Source organism: Homo sapiens, chromosome 4 (genome assembly GCF_000001405.40).
Source record: "Homo sapiens chromosome 4, GRCh38.p14 Primary Assembly".
In the NCBI taxonomy this organism is placed as follows: Eukaryota; Metazoa; Chordata; class Mammalia; order Primates; family Hominidae; genus Homo; species Homo sapiens.
This window is the reverse complement of record NC_000004.12, coordinates 23,902,356-23,915,789: the sequence shown is the minus strand read 5'-3', so window position 1 is coordinate 23,915,789 and position 13,434 is coordinate 23,902,356. Positions and strand designations below refer to the sequence as shown.

General features: G+C 38.1%; 1 protein-coding gene across 16 annotated transcripts in view; it reads left to right on the top strand.

Annotated features, from left to right (window-relative positions):
- PPARGC1A (PPARG coactivator 1 alpha) overlaps positions 1 to 13,434 on the top strand; it is a 680,885-nt gene that overhangs the window by 557,116 nt on the left and 110,335 nt on the right. The window contains exon 1 of one of the 16 annotated variants that reach the window (XM_005248132.1): positions 11,701 to 11,796. The exons of the other annotated variants lie outside the window; for them this stretch is intronic. Within the exon in view, the coding sequence (XP_005248189.1) occupies positions 11,752 to 11,796 (45 nt within the window). The 5' untranslated portion in view covers positions 11,701 to 11,751. Of the gene's footprint in view, positions 1 to 11,700; positions 11,797 to 13,434 lie in introns of those variants that run through there. 16 annotated transcript variants of the gene reach the window in all.

The window sequence follows — 13,434 nt, the reverse complement described above, 5'->3', positions numbered from 1 at the left end:
TCTCTCCCCCTCAACATAGCCTCATAGCCTGGTGTAATTTATTTATGGGACTTCATGATAAATTTCTCCTGGAATTCAGTATTTGGAATAAAATCTCTCTGTGTGACTATCTATATCTATCACGTGTCTATGTCACATTTGCCACGTGCCAGGCATTATTCTAGAGCTGAGCTAAAACAGTGAACAACAAAAAAAGACTCTTGTCCTCATGAGTGTTACATTTTAGCAGAATAGATGGAAAATATACCAAAGATAGAATTTAGAAAACTGATAAATGCTATGAAGAAAAATAGAAAAGAATCAGAAATAGAAAAGAAATGGCTGGGGACTAGGATGGTGTTACTATTGAATAAGGGAGGTCAGGGAAGTCTGTTTTCTTTTGTTGGATAGTGAAATTTATTTAATACAACACACTTTAATTTTTGTCTAAACTGCCAAGAAACTCAAAGCTCAATTCACAACTCAGCTACAAAAAATGGTGAATTCCAGGTATGTTCTAGCATTTACTTCCCTGTTCATTTTAAGTGGATTTGATATGGTGTTTCTATTGATATGATATTCCTATTGCCTTGTTTTATGTGCCTAGCTTTTAATGTAACCAAAAATCCCATTTAAAAAAAAAGAAAATAAATTTTAAACATTAAAAAACCAAATGGAGTCAGTCCAAAGTACAAAAGAAATGAAGACAGGCTATTTTCCTCCAGCTCGAAGGAGTCTCTCCTCCTTTTTAAGTTTTATGGAACTTCCTTGGACCTCCATACTTACTGGGAGCCATGAATGTTGATGGATGTGGTAGGTTTCTCCAGTAATTAAAATTATTGTTATTTATAAGGACTCCTTCAGAAATTATTGCAATATATAATTGCTGTTAATTGATGACAAATACTTGCTATTTATCAATAATGCAAAATATTAATATCAGCATCTTCTGTTGCTGTGTGCCCACTCTTAGCAATTAGATCTTGAGAAACAATGCTTTTTGTTTGTGTCAGTGGCTGGAAGGTAATAGAAAACATCTTGATATTGACTGACATCTAAGGTAGCTATGTTAGGTTCAGGCCGCACTGACTGCCGTTGGCATGGTTAGTCATGGAAAGAAAGAGTTGTTTTTAAATACAATTTTGAAGATATCTGTCATGTATGTTAAAAATATTTCTCTTTGGTTATTTTCCTTATATAGGGATGGGACAAAACATTCTCAACACATTTGTGTTGGCTGTGTTCAAAATCATATTCTCAAGTTTTGGGGAAGTTTTAGAGGTGGTGTGTTTGTGATTATGCTCATAACAAGGCCTTTGCAGGACTGTGGGAGTCAGACAGCCTGAGATTGTAGTGATTGTGGATCTGTCTGTTTCCTCCACTAATTTTAAGGACAGACACTATATGCTGATTAAATTGCTGCCCAACAGTGTATTTTAGAGGGCAAGTAATCAATAAGTATTTGAAAAGGCAGTATGTGAATGTATGTCTCTATGATTGTCTTATAGAAAAGGATATTAAAAAATATTAACACATACCAGATTCCCTAGTATGAAGAGAATCAGTAAATAAATGCAAAGGTCTTACAACAATGCCTGAAACACAGTAATAAGCACTCAATAAAATTTAACCATGATTAATATTTAATATTATATTAGGGGAATACTCTCATGGCATAGCATAGTGCTTGGCACAGAGCTGACTTCAATAAAGATTCATTTAAAGGATGAATCCCTCCCAGAAGAGGTTAGGTGTCCATTCTCTGGACTTTTCTAGCAGCTCCTGCTTAGCTTTACTCCAGTACATAACATTAATATAAATATAACTTGCTTATTCAACTTACTACTCTGCGAGTGCTTCAAAGGCAAGCCTTTTGTCTTTTTCATCTTCACCGTCCTGAGGTGCAGCCTGTAGAATGTGGAAGGCACGCAGTGTATGTGAGGTGAATGGATGGATGCAGATGGATGAATGAGCACATGCCTCCTCTGTGAGGCTCTAGTAGCAGCTCAGATGTCAAATAGTTTGGGTTAATACCAAGTAATAAGAAAAAAAAAATTCCCACCTGCCTCTACTTAACTATAGAACTCTATGATCCATTTGTTCAACGCATGTTTACTGAGTTGTTCAGTTAGCATTTTAAGACCTAAGAACATAATTGTGAACAAGACATTGTTCTTGTCTTCGTGGAGCTTATGTTGTAAATATCTCCAAGTCTCATTTTATTCACATTTCCTCTTCTCAGAGAGTGCTAGATTTGGTTTTGAAATCACATTGAAAGTTACTATCCTGGGCTTTTACACATTTCACCAGTTGTTCTACTACTATGGAAGGGCCTCCATTCCATAAGCTCATTTACTATGTGGGAGTGTGGTTGGAAACAGAGAGAAAAGGATTTAAGAGTTAAAGTTTTTAAAGTGCTTGATCACTCCTGCCATATAGAGAGAATTCAGTAAGTTGGAAGATATATCAGTTAGGGTTCTCCAGAGAAACAGATTTTCTCTTTCTCTCTCTCTCTCTCTCTCTCTCTCTCTCTCTCTCTCTCTATATATATATATATATATATATATAAAATATATAATATATATAATATCTACCAATTGAGAGATTCTATATATATCATATATAATATGATATATATCATATATCAGTTGAGAGAGAGAGAGTGTATGTGTGTGTGCACATGCATGCTAAGAAATTAGTTCATGTGGCCAGGTGCGGTGGCTCACGCCTGTAATCCCAGCACTTTGGGCGGCTGAGGCGGGCGGATCACGAGGTCAGGAGATTGAGACCATCCTGGCTAACATGGTGAAACCCCATCTCTACTAAAAATAAAAAAATTAAAAAAAAAAACGAAATTAGCCGGGCGTGGTGGTGGGCGCCTGTAGTCCCAGCTACTCGGGAGGCTGAGGCAGGAGAATGGCATGAACCCAGGAAGCGGAGTTTGTAGTGAGCAGAGATCCCGCCACTGCACTCCAGCCTGGGCGACAGAGTGAGACTCCGTCTAAAAAAAAAAAAAAAGAAATTAGTTCATGTGATTGTGGAGGCTGGCAAGGCTACAATTGGTAGGGCAGGCTGGAAACTCATTTAAGAGTTGACACTGCAGTCTTGAGTTCAGAATTCACAGTGTGGGCCAGCAAACAGGGAATTCAGGCAGGTTTCATAGCTCATAGGGAATTCTTTCTCAAGGAAACGTCAGCTTTCACTCTTAAGGCCTTCAACTGACTGGATGAGGCTCACCCATATTATGGAGGGTCATCTGCTTTACCTAAATCAATTGATTATAAATATTAATCACATCTACACAAAACCCACACAGCAACATCTAAACTAGTGCTTTATTAGACAATTGAGCACCATAGCCGAGCCAAATTGACACACATGATTAAGAATCAGTTGTATTGTCTCACATGATCCTGATGGGATCATCATAAGACCCTAAGATATAGGCATGGTGATTCCTACTTTATACGTGAAGAAACTGAGACACAGAAAGCCTTGGTACCTTTCCTTAGGCCATAGAGCTGTGAGCTGAGGTCACTGTCAGAAGCCAGGGGTGTTAAGTCCTACTCTGCAACAAGCTGTCTCTTGGTCTGACCTAGAAAGCCCAATCTAGAACCTGCTCTTGAAAATGCCATCTCTTCATTGGGAATTTTCTAGAACCTACTCTTGAAAATGCCACCTCTTCACTGGGAATTCTCTGTCTCTCCTTTTCTAAAAAATTTCCCCACTTAAAAAATTCATTTCTCATATTGGATATCTTTACAGACTTATCCTAATGGTCTCTTTGTGGTTCAAGCTTTCCATTTTGCAATTATTCAGTTTGAAGTTGGTTATGTTTGGGGACATGCAGTTTCAGAGAAGCTTCCAGGATCACACCTTTATAAAAACAGGTGCTTTTTAGTTTCAGTTACACAAGGTGACTAAATTCTAGAGATCTGCTGCACAACAGTGTGCCCAGAGTTAAAAATACTGTATTGTACATATAAGAATAGGTTAAGAAGTAGCTCTCATGTTAAGGGTTCTTTCCACAATAAAAATGAGTGATTTTTTTAAAGCTACCAATATGCATGTTAGTATATATATATATTTCTTGGTGAAATTCATATTGACTTATCACAATTTCTCTAGTCCTTGATGGACACTGTCAATTTCTTGTCCAATTGGAAAGTTATTGACTAATTATAATTTAACATGTGTTTCCTGGATAAATGTATGCTTGTTTATCTCAGTTTATCAACATTTAAGAGCAAATACTTCAAACTCATGATCCATTAGGAAAATCATCAGTTAATTCTCAGAAGTCGATGGTGTGATTATGTCAGGACTCTAGCTCTATATTGTATCTGTCATCTCAAGATCTCAGGTCATAGCCATAAACCATGGGGATGCATATTAGAAGTATTTGTGTTCGCATCGCTGCCCCCTGAAGATTGGTGACACCTTATGGGGATAGATTCTATTTTGTTTATATTTGTAAATAAGATTAGTGGAAATGCTATTTTGATTATCCAAAGATGACAAAGGTGATCATTTTTCCTGAATGTGCCCAGTGCTATGCTAGGGACAGGTAGGTTGATATCAAAGTAGGGGAGGGGGGAGGAATACTGTTCTGCTAACACCTGCTTCTCCTTCTCCACTTTATTCTAGGCAGCCTGGGTTTCTCTGTTGCATTTCACTATGTCCTGTAGATTTCTCTGTTACTCCAGACTCATTGATTCCATTTTCTCTGTTAGGCTGTGGGCTGCAGGGAAACCAGGATCCAGGTCTTACTCAACTATGCTGCTTTAGTGCTTCACTCAGTTTTAAACAGTAAAGATTTAAAAGTTTGGCAGACGTTAGAGCGAGGCAGTTTGGGTGGGGGTTGAGGGGAGGGGAGGGCATGAATTCTGGAACCAGGCTGCCCAGGTTCAAGTGTCACCCTTCCTGCATGTTACATGTGTAACCCTGAGCAAGTTACTTAATTCTCTGCCTCAGTTTCTCCATCTGAAAAAAAGAGATAACAATAGTTGACATTTCATAAGATAATAAGTGTAAAGCACTTTAAATAGTAATGGGTATAAAATATAAAATATATGGCCGGCACGGTGGCTCACACCTGTAATCCCAGCACTTTGGGAGGCTGAGGCAGGTGGATCATGAGGTCAGCAGTTCAAGACCAGCATGGCCAATATGGTGAAACCCCATGTCTCCTAAAAATACAAAAATTAGCTGGCATGGTGGCACCTACCTCTTATCCCAGCTACTTGGGAGGCTGAGGCAGGAGAATTGCTTGAACTCGGGAGGCGGAGGTGGCAGTGAACCGAGATTGTGCCATTGTGCTCCAGCCTGGGTGACAGAGCGAGACTCTGTGTCAAAAATATATATATATTAATATATATATTATATTAATAATATATATAGGGTTAATATATATATAATATATATAATATATATAATATAATATAATATATATAATATATATAATATATAATATATATAATATATAATATATATAATATTATATATAGGGTTAATATATATAATAATATATAGGGTTAATATATATTAATATATATAATATATATTTATATATATTATATATAATATATTATATATTATATATGTATAAATTTTTATATATTTTATATATATTTATTATATATTATATATTTATATTATATATAATATAGATATATATTTTTTATATATATACACACACATATACATATATATGTGTAAAATATACATGCCTATTTTCATTGTAAACTACTCTTGATTTTATGTCTCTGGTCTTCTAGTGACTTGCTGCTATTTTATGGATTAAAGAACAATTTTCACAATAAAATCACGTTAGCAGCTGCATTCTGCCACCTGGTTGAGAGCCAAATCTTGGCTCCCACTACCTTTCATATTTCTTTGTATTTCCCTTAGCAGCTAACATTGGACCTGGTATGATTCATCATTTGTCACTAGGACTTTTTATTTTCTAGCCTCCTTAGTATTGAGAAGAACTAACATTTACCAAATGTCTACTAGATGCCAAGCTAGGTATCTGATCCTTATACACTGATAAGGATAGTGGTTTCATCTCTATTTTATAGAGGCCCAGGGACATTCAGGGTCTTGGCCCATTTCAAAGAGTTAGGAAGTGTCACAGCCTGGTTCTGCCTCCAGATTGGCCTCATGTCAAAGGGAATGCTGTCTCTCCCTCATCATCCCTCCTCCTTCTGCCTGTCACTTTCCTGGGGTCCCAGCAGGCACCCCTCAAAAGCCAGAGGAATCCATGTGTTCTTCTCCAGCCAAGTATGACTCTTGTAACCATTTGTTCTGGATCCCAGAACTTTTATTAGAGGGGCTATGAATGAATAAGCAAGGTCTTGCCAAACCATTCCTATTTTCCTATATCTGTACATTGGCATCCACGCAGGTTTCGCCAGTACTATGCTAACCTCATGATTAGGGCATCCAGCAATGCACAAGCCCAACGTAGGGCACCAGTCATTTTTCCTTAAAAGACTATTATATTTGATCTTTTAAAGTAATAATTGTAGCTGCTATTATGACAAATATTAGGACTTTACTGAGCTTCTCTATACATACATAATTTAGTAATGAGTCTAGTTTTTATTTCAAATTACGTACGGGTCAGGGACCTATAAAAGTCTTCATAGGGCCTGACTGGCATACTCATTCTAGGATGTTTCGGAGATTAATTAGATCTGTTTTCAAGACCCTGGCTGATCCCCACCACTTCTCCTTCAATGCACTCAACTACTGTACTAATCACATGTGGATATTTTGATTGATTACATGTTGGATCTTCTATTTACTCAGACTGTAAGCAGCTTCAGAGAAGACAGCAATAAAATCTCACACAAGTTAAGCACCTGGGATGTTGCGGAACTATCATTTGGAGTGTAGTGAATTCTGATTGAGGTTTCCACTTTTATCTTGTGTTCTACACATTTGCAGATACACACATTCCCACACATGCACCCATGTGTAGAGAGCTTTGTGATGTGTGTCTGTTTATCCTGGCATCATGGAGCTAAGGTAGTTATTGGACCCCAGTGGAGCATTTTATCAAGGATTTTTAGTTTTAATTTTAATTTTTTAGGATCAACTTTATAAGGTAGAAAGACTGCGAACATTTAGAATTTCATAGGCAGAGTTCATGTAGGGAAGAATAAAGTCTGTTCTGCACCCTTTGACGTGTCTAAAGTTACTGACTGAGACATAAATAACTACTGTACACATGAATTGAAGAGATATATTTCTCTGGATAATTTTCCAAGTAGGGTGTTTTTTTTTTTTCCTGTTCCCTATTCTCCTTATGAGTGGTGGTGGCTACTTATAATATTTAGAGATATAATCTATGAATTTTATGCTTACATTTCTTCTCTCCTATGTCACCAATTTATTTTACTTATTTTCAACTTTGGGTAGTTATAGTGTAGTTTTATGATACAGATATTCAAAGAAAGCTTCAGTACATATAAGTGCTCTAGCTTACAAGTTTTCCTTTTATTCTGAGTGAGAAATTACTGCATTTCGCCTATTTTTGGAATTTTTAAAATTTTAATTTTTCACATTTAATTCTTGATGATTTTGCTTATAAATACCTAAAGAGGCACTTGAAATTGGAAAATGCAGACACTGTCGCTCGTTCTCTTAAAGAGTTACACTTGGTGGCAATGTGCACTGTACCTTTCCACAAACATGTGCCCCAACATCCCATGACGAAGCATCGGTAGTGAATTCAAATATCACTTTGTCCATTTCAAAGTTTTCAGTTTTTTTCATACAAATCTTTAATCTTCAAAAATGCCTCTCTTACACATTGATTTTAGAGGCTCACTCTGTGCCCCAAACAGTTTTCTTCTTTCTTCCTTCTCCATGTGCGCAAGGCACCCACAGAGAGGGAAACATGAGCCGCTGCTTCCCATACATGTTTGTGCATTCCTGAGTCCCAACGCCCACTTCATGGGATAAAACATGCAGAAATCTTAATGTGTGCATTTATTTTAAAATGCCCCAAGTAAGGAAGAAGAGGAAAGGTTAGGAGAACAGAAAGCTAACTGAAGCTGAGCCACTCGAACTACGTAGAAAAGGGCATTTATATAGTGCGAACTGCAGAGTAGGCGCTCTAAAAGGCTCCTCATCTACAACCATTTACTTAGTCCTCTTGAATTCCCATGTTTAGTCTGTGAGGTAGGTATTATCCCCATTTTCGAGATGGAAAAATAAAGAATCAGACAAGTTAAGCAGCTTAACTAGTGGTATTGAGGTAGGGTGTACTGAAGTGGACTTCACACTCAGGTTTGTGTCTCTGGGACTCCTTACTGAATGCACAGCCTTCACAACCAACGTATTCTGCATGTGACTGAGTTCTAATTCTGCTTTGAGGTCTGTGTCTTTAAATGCATAATTTGCAAATCGAGAAAGGGTGATGAATGTAAACTTAATGCTTTCTTACAAAGTTAGTTGTTAAAAAATAAATCACTACCTTTGCGTCAGACATCAAACTATTACAGAATCAATGCATGCAACTTTCATTGCTACTCGGTTATAATCAGTGGTTTATGTTTCGTTCTTCCTTGTTTGTTTTTTTAGGTGCGATGGTGATGGTGGCAGTAGGGGTTTCAGAATTAGTATTCACGGGTCTACTCTAAATAGCCATAGGTCATCCCTAATGGCCTTTGTTCTTCTAGCTCCAGAAAGTGTAAAGATATCAGGAGAGGCAGTCTCTTCTGGTTTTGTGTTCTGGGCCATTTACTTTGGATACTGCCCTATTGAGTGATAGCTCGCCAGACTGCCAGGTGACCCAGGCACTCTGGAGCTTAGCTATGATTACTCCTGAATCAGAGCCACAAAGTTCCCAAAGCCTACAGTTTTGGAAATAAATTTAGTGGAGTTTGTTTTATTCTTATTTCCTAAATGAGAGGAGATCAGAAAGCCACATATTTTAGCCCCACTTTCTGAAGGCTGGCACCACAGTGAGTTTTGAGTGACCTTAATCCATGTGACCCTTTTCATATTTGACTACATTTCCAAGCAGGGGCTGCAAAATATCTGTTGGACGTTGATTCTACTATTGATGCTAAGAGGCAAAGTTAAAGTCTATTTGTTAAGGTCTGTTCTAGATTAGATAAACATACTGTATGTACTTCATGGAAACACAGTTGTAGCATGGAAAATATCTTCTTTTTTTTTTTTTTTTTTTTGTGAGACAGAGTCTCACTTCAATACCCAGGCTGGAGTGCGTAGCACCGTCAAGGCCCACTGCAACCTCCACCTCCTGGGTTCTTCTCCTGCCTCAGTCTCCTGAGTAGCTGGGATTACAGGCATGCACCACCATGCCCAGCTAATTTTTGTATTTTTAGTAGATACAGGGTTTCACCCTGTTGGCCCGGCTGGTCTTGAACTCCTGATCTCAAGTGATCCTCCCACCAAGACCTCACAAAGTGCTGGGATTACAGGCATGAGCCACCGCGCCCGGCTGGAAAACATCTTTATAATAAGATTTTTCATGTGGTCATAATATGTGTTTTACTCCGGCCTTTGTTTGGAATTGCTATCTTCAAAAGGAGCCTTCATTTCATTTAAGGAGAAGGGTGGCATTATAATAAGTGTTTCTTCTCCTTGGGGGTGTGCTTCAGTGACCTGAATCAGACACCCCAAGTTAACTGTAGGGGTTGATCTGCAAAGAACAGTGCACTCTTTTAAATGGTATGTCAGATCAAATTTAGAGACACTTGTTGTAAGGCTTCTTTTGATCAGAGCAGGGTGCCATGTGTTGGCTGTGCTCATCTTTGAGTCCTGCCTTTTCTTAATTTCCCTGGTGGTTTTAGCTGGATGTGTGTGGTGTTTTTATCTTCCTGCTGAACATGAAGCTGTGGTTCCCTTCTGATTTGTGAAGAGACTCCTAGATGTCTAAGTTATGCGACTGTTGGGCACAAACAAAAAATGCTATTTTTCTGCATAGCCTGATCATTAAGAACAAAATGTTTGATGCCAAATAAGACTGTCTTGAAGTTTCTGGTCTCCCACTTACAAGCTTTTGTCTTTAGAAAAGTTACTTAACCTCTCTCAACTTCAGTGATTTTATCCCTAGAATCAGATTAGTAATAATACTTACTTCTACTGTTAGTGTAAGGATTAAATGAGATAATCTACAGAACTACTCAGCACAGCATTTGATATACAGTAAACATTCACCGAATGCTGGATGCTATTTCTGTATTACTATTTTTATTTTTATTCTAGCCACCAAATCTATGAACTGTGAACTTAGAGAAGCAGAGAAGGCTGCATTTGTAAAGGTGAAGAAGAATAGGGTGAAAAAAGAGGACCTGACTTCATTTTCCATTCCTTAGACTTGTTTATTACAGTTGTAGGTCACCATGGAAACTTTCAGGATTAAGATGGCATTATTGAGTTAAGCATTCAATGAACACCTCAGGGAAGAAAAGCCATAACATGTATGCATGCCATAAGTAGTTTTCAAATGAAAAGGGTTATCTGGGGGCGAAGAGTGGATGGCAGTTGTTGACTTCCTTGTCTGACATCGTTTCCAGAATCCACAGAGAATTAGGATCAAGAGTTGAAAGTGTGATCATATCCCTATGTTTGCCCTTTTGTGGACCATTCCATAAAGTTGTCAATAGTTATGGCCAGAATTTCAAAATGGGAAGCTGCTCTTTACATACTAGGGAGTGGGGCTTTCCAAAATAGATTCTGAAGTCGAAAAGAACTCCGAGTGTTTTTTGAGAAGGGTTGACCTCCTTTCATGCCACTTACTGTGAATTAAAGCTGCGAGGGAGAACTAGTTTGGGCATGTGGTACAGCACTTAGCGCCACCGCTGCCAGGGAACAAGATTTGTGTTTCTAAGGAGATACAACAAAAAGGAGAATGCTTTAAGAGCCAGCGGCTGTCAGAGTGTAAAAGTATCTATGTTCAGAAAGGGAAATAGAAGCTGAATTAAGTAATTTTATACACACGTTATGGGGTGCCCTTCTGTGAGTAATTCTTAAATTCAAAAGCAAATAGTTGTGACCACAAAGGGCTTAGTACATCTCAGCTGATTTTAGCTCTCAGACTCAAACTGGATATGATTGGTATTGACCTGCTCTGTGCATGTGATTTTAAGATGGTCTGACTCTTGTCTGTCATTCTGTTGGGTTATATTAATAACAGGGGACAAAGGGTGAAATAATCCAGTAAAGTTTTGAGCAGCCACTTGACAACGTATTCCAAATAAATGAGAGGAGGAAAACCCTAGCTCTACCAACTGGGGCCATAAAACAGAGTCTTCTACACTCTCTTTAATGTCAATATTAACCAGTTTGCAAATGTTCAGTCAGTTATGGGCATGGATGGATGTCCTGAATGGGTTCCCGGGATAAAGTGTCATCATAGGACAGAAATCACAGGGAGAGTGCACCAAGGAAAAATTACAGTACTGCTATATTTACTTAGTGCCTCTGAACTAGGGTTTTATTTTCCACGGGTTGGAAAGGGAACCACCTGTCTCAATTGCTGATGTCAGAGAGCTCCCTCGAGACACAGGGCTGCTGGAAAGCACATGATACTGTACATATTTGCTCTTACGTTCGTATCTGGCTAAGATTGGGTTTCAGATTTGTGCCCTATTGTGGAGTTCATTTAGTAGTGACTCTGAGATGCCCTCCCACGTCACCATGCCCTTGTGAATTAAAAAGTGGCCTGCCGAAGCCCTTGTTGTGAGTGTTCCCTCATCTCATGATACCAGTATTTGCACTGCAGTAAAATGAATGACACACATGTTGGGGTTATCATCTATGGATTCAATTTTGAAAGTGAGTATCAGGAGGCATTATGTCTGCACCTAGGAGGCTTTATGCTATTGGTAGGTGGGTTTTGTTTTATTTCTGGTGATGAGGGCTTTTAAAGATACATATATGTGTGTATACCAGATTTGGAGGTTTTGTGTGTAGATTGCTAAAAAGAAAGAGAGAAGTGTGTAGTATACTTCATTTTTTTTTAAAGCTGTTCGTTTGTCAGTGTGGAGGATTTGTTGTAGAGTGAATAAAATGCCTAATTTGGGAAGACTGGATATTATGACCATGCATTTCAAGTGATCTAGTGCATTCTTTTTAATTTTTATTTTTAAAGATTTTTAGAGTTGTGTAATCCACTGCTCCAGTTTTCTGGGGGAGAATTCAGCTTTTTAAATGTAGCTCCTTAAGGAAATGCGAGGACCACTGTATTGCATGGCTCCAGGAACTCATAGTCAAGAACTCACACTTAAACTATCCTGCTGGCTATGTGTACAATCTCCAGAAATATGATGCTCTCAACATTACTCAAACATTATGTAAAAGTAGAATTGTTACCAACAATTGCAGAAGGCTTGCTATTAGTGAAGTTGTTCATTATTTTAATAATGCCATGCATCTCCATTTAAATATCTTCACCGACTGCAAATTATATGGTTATTACACAAAATAGGTGGAAAACAGTCTGAGGGTGTAAATTACATTCTTGGGCCACATCAAATCAATTTCCTTTTAGGGATAAGAACCCGGGTTCTTAATTCCCAGCCATCCTATGATGCACACCTTCAATTAAATTTATATTTGAAATGATGCTTGATATTCTTTTTTCTCAAGTCCTAAAAATAGAGTAAATAGGATGGGCTAAGACCCCTTGGTTCATCTAATCTTTCCCCCAGTGTAGGATTTTCCTATGAACCATTAAAAGTGTTATAATATATGATTGATATTAATTAGTTTTCTGTAAAGTACTGCACTCCTTAACATGAACTGAACTAGAAATAAATATATTACCATGAATTAAGATTTTATTAGTTGCAAAGAAGAACTGGATGAAGGCACCTATGTGAAATCCTAAGTACAGGCGTCAAATTGAATTAATGCCAGCACTGCCTTGAGATTAATTTGAGTACTGAATAAGAAATAGTATATCATAACATAACTGTGTTTACTGAATCGTTTTTGGCATCAAAAACTAAAGCTACATTATAAATGCAACAACAGGCTTTTCTCCCTTGGAAGAGAGAGGCGGGTGCATTTTGTAATTAAAGTGAATATTACCCTCTGAAAAATGCTTCTAGTCTCTAGGAAGGAAACAGCCTTCTTGAGAACACTGCATCCTTGTATATATCTCAGACTTTGCATACTTGGTGTTGCTCTGGCCATCTTCTTCATCCTAGAGTACGGTCAGCTCTATTCTCCACTCACTTTATATATTTTTGTCTTATTACTCTCTATATGTTTTGCAACAGATGTGGAGGGTGCTGAAAAGTTTTATGGGATTGCCCCAGGGATGTTCTAGAAGGGATTGCTGATTTTATAGGGAGAATGATTGCACAGCATTCAATACAGGGCCATGCAGGCTGAGCCCTGTGAAGTCCTGAGGATCACTTTTGACAGATTGTGATGCGAGTAGCGCCCCCTGGAGTTGTGCATTGCTGG